Source organism: Homo sapiens, chromosome 16 (assembly GCF_000001405.40).
Source record: "Homo sapiens chromosome 16, GRCh38.p14 Primary Assembly".
NCBI lineage: Eukaryota > Metazoa > Chordata > Mammalia > Primates > Hominidae > Homo > Homo sapiens.
Genome location: NC_000016.10, coordinates 24,480,303 through 24,498,392, shown reverse-complemented (window position 1 = coordinate 24,498,392; position 18,090 = coordinate 24,480,303). Strand labels below are relative to the sequence as shown.

At 45.3% G+C, this 18,090-nt stretch overlaps 1 long non-coding RNA gene across 1 annotated transcript in view, besides 1 other annotated feature; it reads left to right on the top strand.

Annotated features, from left to right (window-relative positions):
• The first annotated feature begins 3,215 nt into the window (after positions 1–3,215).
• Positions 3,216–18,090, top strand: part of LOC105371143 (uncharacterized) — a 29,652-nt gene continuing 14,777 nt past the window's right edge. Inside the window, exon 1 of the long non-coding RNA XR_950928.3 lies at positions 3,216–3,409. This is a non-coding gene — a long non-coding RNA (uncharacterized LOC105371143). The remainder of the gene's footprint in view (positions 3,410–18,090) is intronic.
• Positions 15,001–15,875: an enhancer, noted in NCBI's record as "OCT4-NANOG-H3K4me1 hESC enhancer chr16:24493839-24494713 (GRCh37/hg19 assembly coordinates)". NCBI's record gives its function as "activates a minimal SCP1, AML or CMV promoter by ChIP-STARR-seq in naive and primed H9 embryonic stem cells {active_cell/tissue: H9 hESC(naive and primed)}" and the evidence as "EXISTENCE:reporter gene assay evidence [ECO:0000049][PMID:30033119]".

The window sequence follows — 18,090 nt, the reverse complement described above, 5'->3', positions numbered from 1 at the left end:
TGGAAGTCCAAGTTCAAGGTGCCAGCAGGGTTGGTTCTTTCTGAGGGCCATGAGAGAGAGTCTGTTCCATGCCTTTCCCTCAGCCTCTGGTGGTCTGCTGGCAATCTTTGGTTTCGCTTGGCTTGTAGAAGCACCACTTCAATCTGTCTTCTTTTTTGAGGCAGGGTCTTGTTCTGTCACCCAGGTTGGAGTGCACTGGCGCAATCATGGCTCACTGCAACCTCTGCCTCCCAGGCTCAAGTGATCCTCCTGCCTCAGCCTCCCGAGTAGCTGGGACTACAGGCACGTGCCACCATGCCCAGCTAGATTTTTGTGTTTTTGGTAGAGATAGGGTTTCACTATGTTGCCCAGGCTGGTCTCAAACTCCTGAGCTCAAGTAATCCACCCACCTCAGCCTCCCAAAGTGCTGGGATTACAGGTGTGAGCCACTGCGCCTGGCCCTCTACCTTCATTTTTACCTAGCAGTGTGTGTGTGTGTGTGTGTGTGTGTGTGTGTGTGTGTATCTGTCTGTCTGTGTCCAAATATCCCCTTTTTATAAGGACAGTGGTGGTCCTAGTCTGTTTGCATTACTATAAAGGAATACCCAAGGCTGGGTAATTTATGAAGACAAGAGATTAATTTGGTTCACAGTTCTGCAGGCTGTAGAGGGAGCATGGCATTAGCATCTGCTTCTGCTGAGAGCTCAGGATGCTTCTATTCATGGCAGAAGGCCAAGGGGGAGCTGGTATGTGCGGAGATTACATGGTGAGAGAAGAAGCAAGAGAGGGAGGGAGGTGCTGGGCTCTTTGTAAGAATCACTTCTCAACTTATTACTGGGAGGATGGCACCAGGTCATTCGTGAGGGATCCACCCCCATGACTCAAATACCTTCCACTAGGCCCCACCTCCAACACTGGGGATCACATTTCAACATGAGATTTGGAGGAGACAAATATCCAAACTATATCCGTGGTTATATTGGATCAGGGCCCTAAAGACCTAATGATATAATTTAAGTTAATTATCTCTTTAAAGGCCCTCTTTCCAAATAAGGTCACATTCTAAGATATTGAGGGTTAGGACTTTAACACTGGAATTTTAGGAGCATACAATTAATTCAACCCATACCACGCAGTGCTCTAGAGAGGAAACAGCTGTGAGCTATTAGCAGCCAGTGCTCTGGGCATCTGGGGATGGATGCACTGGCTGGGAAGAGGGTCCCTGTGAGGCACCAACAGCACCCACTACACCAGTGGGTGCCTCCTGGGCCAGCAACATCAGCCTCCCCTGGGAATGTGGTAGGAATGCAAAGTCTTGGGCCTTCCTCCAGACCCTACTGAATCAGAAACTCCGGGGATGGTGCCTCACAGTCTGTCGTGATTCCAATGCATACCAACGTTTCAGAACCACTGCAGTATACCACTTGGGTCACTGAACAACAAATGCTGATGGCAGAGAAAGGCAGTGAGCATTGATTCAGGAGGCTCGAGGTTCCCCAAGGAACACAGGACTGCCGCACTGCATAACTCTAGAGAGCACTATTCCAGTTGCAGTTCAGGTCAATGGTGCTCACAGAGTACAGTCTGAAGCATGCAATGGAGTACAGTTGCATGGTGTACACATGGAGTGGTGCAGCTGCCACCAAGGAGCCAGGCCTGGGCTACTCTATTAAGGGAAGTGCAGTGCTTTCTAGCAGGGCTAGAAAGTCTAATCAGGGCCAGGTGTGGTGGCTCACCCCTGTAATCCCAGTGCTTTGGGAGGCCAAGGTGGGAGATCGCTTGAGTTCAAGAGCAGCCTGGGCATCTCTACAAAAAATGAAAAAATTATCCAGGCATGGTGGTGCATGGCTCTAGTCCTAGCTACTTGGGAGGCTGAGGCAGGAGGATCACTTGAGTGCAGGAGCTCCAGGCTGCAGTGAGCTTAGGTTGCACCACTGCACTCCAGCCTGGGTGACAGAGTGAGACCCTGTCTCAAAAAATAAAAAAGTAAAAACAAAAATCCCAGAGAAGCCATGCCCATGTGTATGCCCCGATCATTTCTTGAGGCCCATCTGACCTACTGCATGATGTGAAACTGAGACAGAGTGAGGAGCCCCTTTTGTAAGGGCCTGTGAAGCCTAAGAATGGAAGTAAAGGAAAATCCTGAGTTCCTTCAAGGGAAATTCCAGGCACCTAGCTGGCCCTGAGAACTAAATAAGTAACTTACTTTTTTTTTCTCTCTCTCTCTTTCTTTCTTTTTTTTTTATTTTTGAGGTGGAGTTTTACTCTGTTGCCAGGCTGGAGTGCAGTGGCGTGATCTTGGCTCACTGCAACCTCTGACTCCTGGGTTCAAGCCAATCTCCTGCCTCAGCCTCCCGAGTAGCTGGGACTACAGGCGTGTGCCACCACCTCCAGCTAATTTTTGTATTTTTAGTAGAGATAGGGTTCACTATGTTGGCCAGGATGGTCTCGATCTCTTGGCCTCTTGATCTGCCCACTTCGGCCTCTCAAAGTGCTGGGATTACAGGCCTGAGCCAATGCACCCGGCCCTAAATAAGTAACTTCTTAAACAAGAAAGGCAATCATCCTGAAACAATAGCCAAGGAAGTTAAGAGTTAGGAGATATTTGCTTACCCTACAGAAACTAAAGATAACAACTTAACAAAGCTCCCTGAATTGTCTTTCAGATGGTGGGACATAGACCCCAAGTAAGAGTGAAGCGAAGACTCAACTTTAACCACCACCCTCTAAGTTTCTTTTGAGGAGCTTGGAGAACGTCACTCCCTGTGGGTCTAAGTGGTACAGGCGCTAAAAAATTATTTAGGCAGATAGTGAGGGTAAGGAAGTCCTCGGCTGTTTCCCTTTTAACAAAAAGCAGTCCCTAAATCATTTATTTTCTAACAAAGAGCAGCCTGTAAAATCGAGCTGCAGACATAGATAAGCAAGCTGGAAGCTTGCATGGGTGAATGCAGCAGCTGTGCCAATAGGAAAAGGCTACGTGGCGGCCAGGCATGTTCAACATGGCGGCTCCATCTTCCCTTTTCTTTGTCAACTAGGTGTACAGTAAGGAACCGACAACATCACACCGGCCAGGTAGAGAAGCCATTTGCATAATAGAAGATTAGGGTGGGGTGGCCAGCTTCTTTGCGCGCTTTGTAAACATCACACCTAGTCCACCAATCTTTGGGCCCTATGTAAATTAGACAACACCTCCTCAAGCCAGTCTATAAACCCTCCCCTCCCCGCACATGCATTTCACCGCAAAACCCAAAGACCCACTTAGGTGTCCCCTCTCTCCGCAGAAGAGAGAGCTTTTCCCTTTCTCTCTGTTAAACCTCTTCTCTTAAACTCACTTCTTGCGTGTCCTCGTCCTCGATTTCCTTGGCGTAAGACGACGAACCTCAGGCATTTACCCCAGACAACGAAGGTGCTTCATAAGGTCATGCAGCTGGTAAGTGGCAGAGCGAGGATTTGAACGGAGGGAGTCTGGCTCCAAGGCTGGGCTCTCTCTCTCTCTCTCTCTCTCTCTCCCTCCCTCCCTCCCCCCACCTTCTCTCCTTTTTTCTCTCTCCCTTTCTTTCTCTCTTTCCTTCTCTGTTGCCCAGGCTGGAGTGCAGTGATGCAATCTCGGGTCACTGCAGCCTCTGCCTCTCCAGCTCAAGCAATCCTCCCACCTCAGCCTCCCAAGCAGCTGAAACTACAAAAATGCACCACTATGACCAGCTAATTTTTTTTTTTTTGAGACAGATTCTCACTCTGTCACCCAGGTTAGAGTGCAGTGGTGTGATCGTGGCTCATTGCAACCTCTGCCTCCCAGGTTCAAAGGATTCTGGTGCCTCAGCTCCTGAGTAGGGATTACAGGCACCCACCACCATGCCCAGCTAATTTTTCTATTTTTAGTAGAGAAGGGGTCTCATTATGTAGCCCAGGTTGGTCTCCTGGACTTAAGCAATCCTTTTACCCCAGCTTCCCAAAATGCTAGGATTTCAGGAGTGAGCCACTGTGCCTGGCCAAGGCTAGGCTCTTATCTCCCAGCCTATGTGACCTTCTGATGGTGTCACAGGTGAGGGGGGCATGGTACATGGCGGCTTGATTTTCACCAAGCACTCAACTTGGTTCCCAGTCCAACTCTGTTTCTGCCCTGGGGACCCTTCTTGATATTGGAAACGGATAAAGCCTGTGGGTTTTTGTTAAATTTATTTTTCCCCACACAACACTGATGTATCAAGGGGGTTTTACCCAGTCTGGATTATGACTTTGTCTTTGACTTTTGATTTTAAAAACTAAGCATTTGTTTCTATTGTTCTCTGGTTTTATGGTGACAACTTTCTCCCTAAGGCAATGAGTAGGTGACTCATGTTGCGTTGCCTAGAGGACGGGGTGGGGAAGGAGTGAGCGGGAAAGGGCGTCAGAGTACCGAGCATGATTCCACTTATAGGAGGGATTTAAAATAGTCAAATGCACGGAATCAAAGAGTGGAATGGTGGTTGCTAGGGACTGGGGGAGGGCAAAATGGGGAGTTACTAATCAATGGGCAGAAAGCTCCAGTCAAGCAAGATGAATAAGCTCTAGAAATCTGCCGTATGACATTTACCTATAGTCAGCAGGAATGTATTGGACACTTAAAAAATCTGTTAAGAGAGGAGATCTCATGTTGTGTTCTTTTTTCTTTTTTTTTTTTTTTAAGAGATGGGGGTCTTGCTATGCTGCCCAGGCTAGTCTTGAGCTCCTGGCCTCATGCGATCTTCTGCCTTGGCCTCCCAAAGTGCTGAAATTACAGGTGTGAGCCATTGCACCTGGCCCCTAGTGTTCTTATCACAATTAAAAAATAAAAAAAGATGGCCAGGCATGGTGGTTTGCACCTGTAATCCCAGTGCTTTGGGAGGCTGAGGTTGGGGGGATTGCTTGAGGTCAGGAGTTTGAGACCAGCCTGGGCAACACAGTGAGACCCAGTCTATATTTTAAAAAAGAGAGAGAAAGATGGACTATATCACATCTGTTTCTTTGCATCCCATTTTTCATCTCCTCCACCTTCACTTTGTTTTACTTCTTGTCAGCCTCAAGTCTTGGGGATGGGGTTGAAGATTCTGTGGCTAGCCCAGGTCTGCCTTTCTGGGATACACTGCCTGTCCAGGGAAGTGCTGCCCAAGAGAAATGTCATCTGACCCACACATGTAATTTTAAACTTTCTGCTAGCCACATTAGAAAGGTAAAGAGAGGCCGGCGTGGTGGGACATGCCTGTAATCTCAGCACTTTGGGATGCCAAGGTGGGAGATTGCTTGAGCCGTTTAAGATGAGCCTAGGCAAAATGGTGAGACCCTGTCTCCACAAAAATAAATAAATAGCTGGGCATGGTGGCTCAAGCCCGTAATCCTAGCACTTTGGGAGGTGGAGGTGGGCAGATTGCCTGAGCTCAGGAGTTCAAGACCCACCTGGCCAACATGGTGAAAGCCCATCTCTACTAAAAAAATATAAAAATTAGCCGGGGGTGGTGGCGTACATCTGTAGTCCCAGCTATTTGGGAGGCTGAGGCAGGAGAATCGCTTGAACCTAGGAGGCAGAGGCTACAGTGAGCCGAGATCGTGCCACTGCACTCCAGCCTGGGTGACAGAGTGAGACTCTGTCTCAATAAATAAATAAATATGAGGCCAGGCACGGTGGCTCACGCCTGTGATCCTAGCACTTTGGGAGGCCGAGGAGGGCAGATTACTTGAGGCCAGAATTTTGAGAGCAGCCTGGAAAACATAGCAAAACCTGTCTCTACAAAAAATTAAAAAATTTTGAGACTCCGTCTCAAAAAAAAAAAAAAATTAGCTGACTGAGGTGGGAGGATGGATTCAGCCCAGGAGGCTGAGGCTGCAGTGAGATATGATCACACCACTGACTCCAACCAAAAAATAAAAGACACCCATGACAATTTTCTTTTTTTTTTTTCTTTTTTTTTTTTTGAGACGGAGTCTCGCTTTATTGCCTAGGCTGCTGGAGTGCAGTGGCACAATCTCATCTCACTGCAACCTCCAACCCCCTACCACGGGTTCAAGTGATTCTCGTGTCTCAGCCTCCAGAGTAGCTGGGATTACAGGTGCCCCCCACCACGCCCAGCTAATTTTTGTATTTTCAATAAAGAGGAGGTTTTGCCATGTTGGCCAAGCTGTTCTCAAACTCCTGACCTCAAGTGATCCGCCTGCCTCGGCATCCCAAAGTTTTGGGATTACAGGCGTGAGCCACTGTACCCGGCTGACAATTTTCATAATGTTTTATTTAACCCAATATGACTAAATTACTGTTACTTCAGTGTGCTATTAATATAAAACATCGTTATTTTCTTTTTCCATACTAAAGTTTTTTAAAATACTGGGGTGTAATTTATACTAATGATCCCAACTTAATGCAGACTGACCACATTTCAAGTGCCCAATGGCCACATGTGCCCATGGATACTGCAATGGACAGTGGAGCTCTAGAGCTCTGAACCTCTGTGTTCTGGGGTGACCTCACTCCCGTGACTAATGTCAGAAGATGGCTGTAAGGCCCAGGGCTATTTGTGTCCAGCTCCAACTTAATCTCTCCTGGGGAAATGAGCTTTGTTCTCTTTTAGTGGAGAATCTGTCCTTGGTTTGCCCATTGTGGGATGTTTTCTAGAGCACAGATGCTAATGTTGTTCTAAAAAACTGGGGTTCTTGGCCAGGTGAGGTGGGTCACACCTGTAATCCCAGCACTTTGGGAGGTTGAGGTGGGTGGATCACTTGGTCAGGAGATCGAGACTATCCTGGCTAACACGGTGAAACCCCATCTCTACTAAAAATACAAAAAATTAGCCAGGTGTGGTGGTGGGCGCCTGTAGTCCTAGCTATTCAGGAGGCTGAGGCAGGAGAATGGCGTGAACCCGGGAGGCGGAGCTTGCAGTGAGCTGAGATCGCGTCACTGCACTCCAGCCTGGGCAACAGAGCGAGACTCCATCCCAAAGAACAAAACAAAACAAAACAAAACTGGGGTTCTTCATCAGGCAAGTAACAAAGACTCTTTATAGGGATGTAGGTTTGGATCAATAGGAGTTTTATTACTTGATACAAGTAAAGGAGAACATTGAGAGTATTCTCCAAAGCAGTGTCTTCCCAAGGGAAAGTGATAGGCGAGTTTTATGGGGTAATAGAGAAGGGAGAGGGTGCAGCATTGCGTGTAGTGGGGTCTCAGTTGTGCAGATGCGCTGAGCTATCATGCCAGCACATAGGTTGCATGTTAAGGTAATGAAGCTATAGCTCCTCTGGGGGTGGAGACTTTAGCATGGTAATGAGGAATGTTCACTTGGGTTCATCTGTAAGTTGTGGGAGTCTGCCAGGAGCTGGTTTTAACTGATTAGGTGACTGCATTCCATACAAGGTTTAGGAAGAAAAGGACTTCAGGGCAGGAGGCTATAAAACAGGCTGATTGCTCAAGTTCATTAAATTCTTGTAATCTCTGGAGACCCTCCCTATCTGCTTACACTAAGTAAACCTGACCTGCATGTTAGCATGGAGAGCAGAGGATGCTATGTATTCATTTAAAAATCATGTATTGAATATGTCATAAGCTCAAGATTCTGTTCTAACATGCAGTTCAGGCTCCTGGGGGATGGGACCAAAGCCTCAGTGTTTTTTTTTTTTTTTTTTTGAGACAGAGTCTCACTCTGTCACCCAGGCTGGAGTGCATTGGCACGATCTCAGCTCATTGCAACCTCTGCCTCCCAGGTTCAAGCAATTCTTGTGCCTCAGCCTCCTGAGTAGCTGGGATTACAAGCATGTGGCACCATGTCCAGCAATTTTTTTGTATTTTGGATTTCACCATCTTGGCCAGGCTGGTTTCGAACTCCTGGCCTCAGGTGATCCACCTGCCTCAGCCTCCCAAAGTGCTGGGATTACAGGTGTGAGCCACGTGCCGGACCTCAGTCTTTAGGATCAAAAGCGAAAGTCCCTGCCCTTGTGGAGCTTTCATTCCTTGGAGGGAAACAGGGAGGACAGGGAGTGCAGCTGGGGCTGAGGTGGTGTGCAAAGACCTCTCAGTAGTGATGTGACATTTGAATAAACACGAGAAGGAACTGAAGGATTGATAAGGGATGGGGAGGAAGCTGAGGAGTCAGTCTCCCTGGGTTCAGATCCTGGCTTCAGAGACTTCAGTTTTCAACCATGGCAGACTGGGAGGGACCAGATTTACTCTCTTGCTTTAAACAACTCAAAAACCCGATGACATATATGAAACAATAATTTCCGGACATTGAACCACAGATAGCACAATACAGAGATCCTGAAAGAAAGGAAATAGCTAAGTCTTTTGATGGCCACAGGTCTTGATGCAGAGAGGAGAAACACAACAGAATACGACAGTGTCCCTGCATTGAGAGTCTGGGGAGGCCAAGGCAAGGGAGTGAACCACACAGAAAGGATTTTGGAGCTGTTTAGAGCATTCCCCTCCATTTCTTAGCTGAGTACTGATCAGTACACGCCTGTGAAGAAACTCCCAGAGGCCAAGGAAAGACCACCAAGAAGGACCAGGTGGAGCTCACATAGGATCGGGAATTGTGTTCTTACTGACCAGAAAGGAAAGACCTCTCCATGAGTCCATTTTGCATTGCTCCAAAGGAATACCTGAGGCTAGGTAATTTATAAAGAAAAGAGGTTTATTTGGCTCAGGATTCTCAGGATTCTGTATAAGCAGCATGGCACCAGCCTCTGCTCAGCTTCTGGTGACAGGAAGCTTTCAGTTATGGCGGAAGGTAAAAAGGGAGTAGGCACATCACATGGTGAGAGAGGGAGCAAGAGAGAGAGGAGGAGATGCCAGGCCCCTTTAAACAACCAGCTTCTGCATGACCTAACAGAGTGAGAACTTTTTCATGGCCACGGGGAGTGCACCAAGCCATTTGTGAGGGATCTGCTCCCGTGACTCAAACACCTCCACTAGGCCCCACCTCCAACACTGGGGATTGCATTTCAGCATGAGATTTGGAGGAAACACATATCCAAACCATATCAGCCTCCTCATATATGGGACATTGAATGGAGTCCTGAGAAGGATATTGTCTCACTGGTGGCCAAATTAACTTTAGACTAGAGGCTGTTTTGGACCTGGCTAACAGTCTGAAAAGCAAGCCTTGAAAGTTTCATACTGTTTCGCATAACTTAAATGCATGCTAAAACAAAACTCCCAAATATTTATGGGAATATAAAAAATGTCGGCACTCAGCAATGTAGAATTCATAATGTTTGAAGTCCAGTAAAAAGTTACCAGGCATGCAAAGAAGCAGAAAAGTAGGACCCAATCGTGAAAAAAAAATCATCCAATAGAAACAGAACCAAAGATGTTACAGATGATAGAATTAGTAGATAAGGACATTAAAACAGCTATTAGAAATATGCTCTATACAGGGAATAGATGCACAGAAAGAGCAGAGACTCCTGAGGGAGGGGCTGGGCTTTCCAGGAGAGACATGGAGAGGGCTCCCCAGGCCTCAGAGCTGTCTTGATTCTAGCACCAACCACATGGACTCTTACAATTAGTCCCTATTTTCTTGAGACAGTTGGAGAGATCTTTGTTCTTATGATCAGCAAATCCTGAATAAAGCCACTTTCAGTTTAGAGGAAAAAAAAAAAAAGAAATATACTCAAGAAGATGGAGGCCTGAGCATGTTAATGAGAGATATAGGAGACAGAGAAAAAAGACCCAAATTAAACTTCAAGAGATGACAGTACAATGGTGGAGCAAATAGCAAATTAGACACTATGAAGGCATAGGCTATGGGAAATATTCAGACACAGAGAAAAAAGACTAAAGAAAAAAAAGTCACACACGCACACAAAGAACAGAGCCTCTGTTCTCTGCAGTGGCTCATGCCTGTAATCCCAGCACTTTGGGAGGCTGAGGCAGGCAGATTACTTGAGGCCAGGAGTTCAAGATCAGCCTGGCCAATGTGGCAAAAACCCTTCTCTACTAAAAAAATAAAAAATTAGCTGGGCATGGTGGTGCATGCCTATAGTCCCAGCTACTTTGGAGGCTGAGGCAGACAATTAGTTGAACCTGGGAGGTGGTGGTTGCAGTGAGCTGAGATTGTGCCACTGCACTCCAGCCTGAGCAGCAGAGTAAGACTCTGACTCAACCCCCTCCCAATGCCAAAAAAAAAAAAAAAAATCTATGATAAAGTTTGGTCAACATCAGGTGCTCTAATATATGTATAATCGGAGTCTCTGAAGGAGAGGTGAGAAGTAAGAGGAATAGAAAATGTATTTGAAAAAATAACAACTGAACACTTTTCAAATTTCATAAAAAGGTATAAACCCACAGTTATGAGAATCTCAAGGAACCCAAAACAGATCTTGCATCGAATACTTGCTTTGTAACTGTGGGCAAGTTACTATGTTGTCTGAGGCCACATTTCCTCATCTGTTGTAATAACAAATCTTGTATGGAGCACCCTTGACATAAGTGATTCCACCTTAGAAAAAAGTCCAGGTTGGCCAGGTGCAGTGGCTCATGCCTGTAATCCCAGCACTTTGGGAGGCCGAGGCGGGCAGATTACCTGAGGTCAGGAGTTTGAGATCACCCTGGGCAACACGGTGAAATCCCATCTCTACTAATAATACAAAATTAGCTGGGTGTGGTGACACATGCCTGTAATCCCAGCTACTTGGGAGGCTGAGGCAGGAGAATTGCTTGAACCTGGGAGGCGGAGGATGCGATGTGCCGAGATCGCGCCATTGCACTCCAGCCTGGGTGACAAGAATAAATCTCCGTCTCACCAAAAAAAAAAAAAAGGAAAAAAGTCCAGGTAACTTTTCAAAACACATTAAGGCAACAGGGTCCAGATGTTCTCTTAATCAATAGAGACAAAACCCAACCAGATAAGGGCATCACCCTTTACTATCAGTTCTCACCTGAGGACTCAAAGGCCATAAAGTGAGCAGAACTGTATCAACTAGACATGGCCATCTTGGCAGACCTGGTCTTGCTTTCACTCATGAGCAGCACCTGGCATTTGCCCCTGAAGATCCTGCCCACATCAAGGAGACAATGTCTTGCTCTCCTCGCAAGACATTGACAACCATCCAGGTCATCCCAGGACACTCTAACTGTCCACTTCATTCTCCTTGGCCTCATTCATTAACTCCTTTTCCTATCCCCTTTTCTCTTGCTGTTAAATGCTTCTCTGTTTCGTGCGAAATTTTAATCTACAACATTTATAGACTGATTAAGCATACTCTTATATATGGTTTGCAATATTGACTGACCTGTGGATTGGCTTGAGCCCGTGTGCCCACAGCTCTGACTACTGAGTGAATGGGAAGTACTAAGGAGAATTGCCTGCTCGGGAACCCCATGATTGAAATAACATCAGTAAAAGTTGACCTAATCAAGGAAATCTTGTGATTTCCTTAAGTGATTACCTTAATCTACAAGGTAACCAAGTGGTTACCTTGATTAAGTTCACCTAATCAAGGTGACCTTGTGTTCACCTAATCAAGGTAACCTTGTCTGACCTTGTGGAAAGACACAAATGTGCATGGACTTGGTTATGTCTGACCTTGTGCTACTCACTACAAACTTACATTAAGCACTAGTTCTGCTCCAGGAACTGTTCTTTTTTGTTTTATTTTGGGGGCAAGGTCTTGCTCTGCTGCCCAGGCTGAAGTGCAGTGGCATGATCACAGCTCACCGAAGCCTGAAACTCCTGGGCTCAAGTGCTTCTCCTGCCTCAGCCTCCGAGACTACAGTTGCATGCCACTGTGCCTGGCTAATTTAAGGTTTTGTTTGTTTGTTTTTGTAGAGAAGGATATTGCTATCTTGCCCAGGCTGGTTTTGGACTCCTGGCCTCAAGCAAGCCTCCTGACTTGGCCTCCCAAAGTGCTGGGATTCCAGGTGTGAGCCACTGCACCTGTCCACCAGTCGCTGTTCTAAAAGCTTTACAACAAAACCATGTGGGTGCTGTTACTGTCATCTTCATTTTGCATATGAGAAAAGTGAAGGATGAAGCATGGGAAGGTTAAGTAATTTGCTGAAGATTACACAGCTCAGAAGCCTGGTGGATCCAGCATTCAAATCAGAGCCCCAGCTCCTAGCCTCTGTACAGCTTCTAAACTCTATAAGATTGGGAAAATGATAGTGCTGAATTCATAGGCTTTTTGTGATAGTTAAACCTGGTAATCCATATGAAGGTGTTTACTTAGCAGAGTGTTTGTTCAAAACAAAAGACTGAAACTTCAAGTGGAGTTGGAATGGCTGGTGTGGGGAGGGGTGAGGCCTGTAAGGCCATGAATGAGAATTAACACCATTATTTAGCAGCCACAGGACAGAGCGCAGTCCTTTAGGCCCCTGGATTCCCTTGGATTTCTATTCCTTCCCACATCTCTACCTGCCCTTTCCCTGGGAAAGGAGGAAGTGAGCAATCAGTGAGCTTTTCTTCTCATTTCCACTTTACATAGACTGTGCCAGTTATGGTTGGGGAAAATGAGCTAGAAGATGACTGAAGGTTCGTTAGTGTGATTTGCTCTTTTTTTTGAGTCACCAAAATGGCATCCTTTCTGTTTTGTTTAAAGGTATTGTCAAATGTCAAAAGATCGCATATGGGCTGGTGACACGGCTCACATCTGTAATCCCAGCTCTTTGAGAGGCTGAGGCAGAAGGATCACTTCAGCCCAGGAGTTTGAGACCAGCCTGGACAACATGGCAAGACCTCATTTCTACAAAAAAATATAAAAGAAACACATATCACTCCTGTAATCCCAGCACTTTGGGAGGCCGAGGCGAGTGGATCACCTGAGGTCGGGAGTTCAAGACGAGCCTGGCCAACATGGTGAAAACCTGTCTCTACTAAAAATACTAAAATTAGCTGGGCATGGTGGCGGGTGCCTGTAGTCCCAGCTACTCGGGAGGCTGAGGCAGGAGAATCACTTGAACCCAGGAGGTGGAAGTTGCGGTGAGCCGAGATTGTGCTATTGTACTCCAGCCTGGGCAACAAGAACAAAACTCGGTCTGAAAAAAAAAAAAAAAAGAAATACATATAGGCATGTTAAGTATAAACCAGATTACATTCAGTGTAATCTGATTTCTAACATGTCCTTTGTTGCATTTTGAGAGATTTAATTGACTCTGAATTGGGCTCCTGGGGCCTGAGGCTGAGCTCTGGTCAACACTGCCATATGGGCATTTTCCATCCAGACCTATCTCTGGGACCAAGTATTAGAGAAAAACAAGTAGTTTCTTAAAGCTGTAGACATTCTATGATAAGGCAGAATTATTTTCTTTTTATTTTATTTAATTTTATTTATAATTTTTATTTTAGCATTCTTATTTTTTGAGACAGTCTCACTCTGGCTCCCAGTCTGGGTGCAGTGGGGCAATCTCGGCTCACTGTAACCTCCACCTTCAGGGTTCCAGCGATTCTTCTGCCTCAGCCTCCCGAGTAGCTGGGATTACAGGTGCCCGCCACAACGCTCGGCTAATTTTTATATTTTTTTAGTGGAGATGGGGTTTCACCATGTTGGAACCTGGCCTCGAACTCCTGACCTCAGGTGATCTGCGTGCCTCAGCCTCCCAAAGTGCTGGGATTACAGGCGTGAGCCACTGTGCCCGACCCTTTTATTCTTATTATAAAAATAATACATGTTCCTTTAGCGCATTAGGAACTGTAGGCAAAGAAAGAGAAGGAAACAACAATTACAAGTAACCTGCTAGCACACATGAAATTTTGCTGTCTATTTTTCCAGTGTTTTAAAAATGTCTATCTGGTAAAAATGGGGTCACACTTTTAAAAATGGATATATCATGGATGTCATCCTCAGCTGTTGCTTATTCTTCTGCAACATAAATTTTTGTGTAGTTCCATAATAAATATACAGTCAGGTTACATTTAATGCAAATTTGAATTACACAACTTGAAATAGTAGGATATAAAATATTAATTAAATCCAACTTTATGGGCAAAATTTCATAAAATGTGAATCCTGCCTTGCATTTATTTTCTGTAGGAAATTTAATCTTGCATAATGTGAGGTATTGTATTATGAGAGGTGTTCAGCAATTCAATCCTTTGCATAAAATATGGCTGCCCTGTCCCATCATTTATTTAGCCAGGCCCTTGTTTATGGTCACTTAATACTGCAGTGAGCCTCTTTGAAGATAAATCTTTGCACATGTCCCGTGATGATGTCTTTAGGAAAAATCCTTTGATGTGTAATTGCTGGGTCAAGGCTTTTAATGCATATTATCAAATCCCATCCTGGAAGGTGGTATGAACATTGATGTAACAAACATTTCCATAGGGCTTACTATAGGACAGGCACTATTCTAAGAATTTTGCATCCTCATAATAATGGTATGCAATAGATGCTGCTATCATTACCATCATCCCTGTTTTATGGATGAGGAAGCTGAGGTCGCCTCAGAGACTCAGGTCGCAAAACTAGTAGGTGTTAACGCTGGCTTCTGGGTCCTGGCTCCTAAACACTGGAGTGTGGTATTTCCCTAACATCCTCAGCATCAGAGTACAAGGTGATTTATTTCCCTATACCCTTGCCCACGAGTAATATGTGTCTGCTCAAAGGGATTGTGACTACATTATTATACTCGGGAAATCAGTTAACCAAATGGTGATTTCTGAGCACTGGCACTATGAGAGATAGAGAAGAAGTTCTAATCTATGGCTTCCAGTGAGCTACTATTTGATGTTGATTTTTTTCCCTCAAGAAACCCCATCGTTATGAATTGCATGCTTGTGTCTTCCCAAAATTCATATGTTGAAACTGTTATTCTTAATGTAGTGGTATGTGGAGAAAGGGCCTTTGGGAGGTGATTAGATATGAAGTTGGAGTCCTTATAAGATTAATGAAGTTATAAAAAGAGACAGGAGAGCTTTCTCTCTCTCTGTTCATATGAAGGTATAATGGGAAGTGGCCTTCTGCAAATCAGAAGGAGAGCCCTCGCCAGACACAGGATCAGCCCATGCCTTGATCTTGAACTTCCCAGCCTCCAGAACTATGAGAAACAAATGCTTGTTGTTTAAGCCACCCAGTCTATGGTATCTTGTTATAACAGCTCAAAATTACCAAGGCACCATCAAAGTAATATTTTCTGATGCTTCCTCCCGGCAGAAGAGTCCCTCATTTTTGGTCTTCATGTAACAGATGTTTTGGGGGTTCACTGGTTCTCTCAAAGGCTCTGCTCACAGCACCAGGATTTTAGGAAACTCTCTTAAGCTATGTGGCATACTTTCCCTGCTGTCTGCTACAGATGCTGGCTCCATGCCTTACAGTCTCTGCAGCTTGCCTTAGCCCCTGACCCAGTGCTGGCTTTATTCATTCACTGCAGTGAGCTTTCATGCTGAGAGAATAACAAAGAGGCATGAGATCCTGTGGCTTTTAACCTGAGATAGGGAGCTGTGTTTAGTTACTTTTCTTGAGCTCACCCGTAACATGACTAATTCTTTTCCAAGACCTCTAGATCCTTGTCTTAGTGTAAAACTGCTAAGCGGCCATAACAAAAGTATCCAACAATACATGGCTTAAAGAACAAAGTGGTTTTTTCCCTCTCATGTAACAGTGCTGAGGTTAGCAGTTGAGATCATTGAGGTGGCTCTAATCCACATAGTCTTTCAGGGACCCAGGTTCTTTCATCGTGTTGCTTTGCTCTATACCAGTGCATTAACATCATCTGCATGGTGAGGGTTCCAACCAGTGGGAAAGAGAAAGAACATGGAGGAGTCACGCCCACTGCATAGGCCTAGACACACACCACTTCCACTTGAATCCCTTTGGCAAGAACTAAATCACTAAACACCTAACTGCAAGGGATGCTGGGAATTGTAGTTCACCTCCATACCTAGAAAGAAGAGAATGGATTTAAGGGGAGGGCCAGTGGTATCCAAAAGACCCTCCAAGTAGGGAATAAATCTAGCTGGGTTTCTGTTTATGCATAGCTAGGTTATTATTATCTTTATTGCCCCTCTTGCTATACCATATCAGTGGGTGAATTTAAGACTAAGATATATAGAGGCCAGGCATGGTGGCTCAAATTTGTAATCCCAGGCTACCTGGGAGGCCGAGGCAGGAGAATCACTTGAACTTGGGAAGCGGAGGTTGCAGTGAGCTGAGATCCCTCCACTGCACTGCAGCCTGGAGGCAAGACGCTGTCAAAAAAAAAAAAAAAAAAAAGAATAAGATACAGAGGCATTTGACATTTATTGAGTGTTAGTACACCAGCCTCATGGGCTCTGGAACCTTGCTCTTAAAAACATGTGCCAGGGCGGATCACGAGGTCAAGAGATCGAGACCATCCTGGCCAACATGGTGAAACCCCATCTGTACTAAAAATACAAAAATTAGCTGGGCGTGGTGGCACATGCCTGTAGTTCCAGCTACTCGGCAGGCTGAGGCAAGAGAATTGCTTGAACCCGGGAGGTGGAGGTTACAGTGAGCCGAGATGGCGCCGTGAGCCGAGATGGCACCACTACACTCCAGCCTGGTGACAGAGCGAGACTTTGTCTCAAAAAAACAAAATAAAGACAAACAAAAAAACGCATGTGTCAACCTTGTTATTGGCTCTACCTGACCCCAAAATGAGCTCATAGTTTGATGTTAAAGCAGAATATGCAGACTTTGTAGACAAAAAATTCTGAATGAGAATCACAGCTCCATCATTTATCTCCCTTCTGTGTGACTTTGGACATGTTACCTAAACTCTCTGAGTTTTAGTTTATTGTGAGGATTATATAAGCATGTAGAATGATTAAGAGCCAGGGCTTTGGCATCCAAGATGATTGGTTGCAAATCCTGGCTTTTGTGACACTAGACAATCCTCTTAATTTATATGAGTACCAGGTTTCCTGTAGAATGGGGTAATACCCTACCTCTTACTGGGTTGTGCAAATGATGTATGTCCTAAGCACTTAGGTCAGTATTGGCTCACAGTACTGAGAAGTTAATCTACATTCAGCCTCAAGTAGTGTGACCATCCTTTCTCACTGCCTTCTCCCATAGGTTGGCTTCATCCTTAGGCTGCCTCTACAGTGGAAACAAGATGGTGGCTACATATTCAGAAGAAGAGTGACATCTTCTCTTCCACGCACCCCCTTGAAGCTCATTGGCTCTAACTGGTTATGTGTGAATCTTTAAACTGTGGCTTGGGGGATTAGACTGATTAGCTGATTGGCTTCAGGGAGTTGATACCCATTCCTGGAGTTAGGGATGGGGTCATTCCCAATCAATTATATGGCAGACATTTGGGGGAGGGATGTTCCTCCAAAGGGAAACTGGCTTGTAATTACCCGAAAGGCAGCCAAAACAACAGATGTCCACTACAGAGAATGTGTTTGAAGGATGAGTTAATTGGACCTAATTATGGCCCAATTTTTATTTGTTTTTTTTGAAATGATGAGTTGATTCCTTCTGATGATAGATGAGCTAATCACCATTTCTGGTAGTTTTCGTTCATATCCCACTTAGTTGACTCCTAGAGTTTTCTTTTATTGCTTTGCCCATACCAATGAATGCTTTCTCCCCCATTACATCTTCAGTGTCTCACCCAAAACTGAGCTCATAGTTTCAAGTCAAAGCAGAATACAGGAGCTGTGATTCTCATTCAGAGTGTTTTTTTTGTCTCCAAAGCCTAAAGACACTCCAAAGAGTCAGTGTCTTTCTGACCTGTAAGTTCATGTTACACGTGCAGACAGAACTTGTATGTGGTGATCAGACACCCCCAAACAAATGCATTGAAGGGGAATCTAGTTGGAGTCTATTTATTTATTTCGAGACAGAGTCTCCCTCTGTCACCCAGGATGGAGTGCAGTGGTGTGATCTCGGCTCACTGCAACCCTCACCTCCCAAGTTAAAGCAATTCTCGTGCCTCAGCCTCCCGAGTAGCTGGAATTACAGGCTTGTGCCACTGCACCACTAAAAATACTAATTTTTGTATTTTTAGCAGAGATGGGGTTTCACCGTGTTGGCCAGGCTGGTGCTGAACTCCTGATCTCAAGTGATCCGCCACCCTTGGCCTTCCAAAGTGCTGGAATTACAGGCATGAGCCATTACGCCTGGCCTGCATATTTTTGAACTTGTAGTATTTGTCTTTGAAATAGCAGTGAGCTTTTTGATTCCAAAGTTTTTGATATAAGT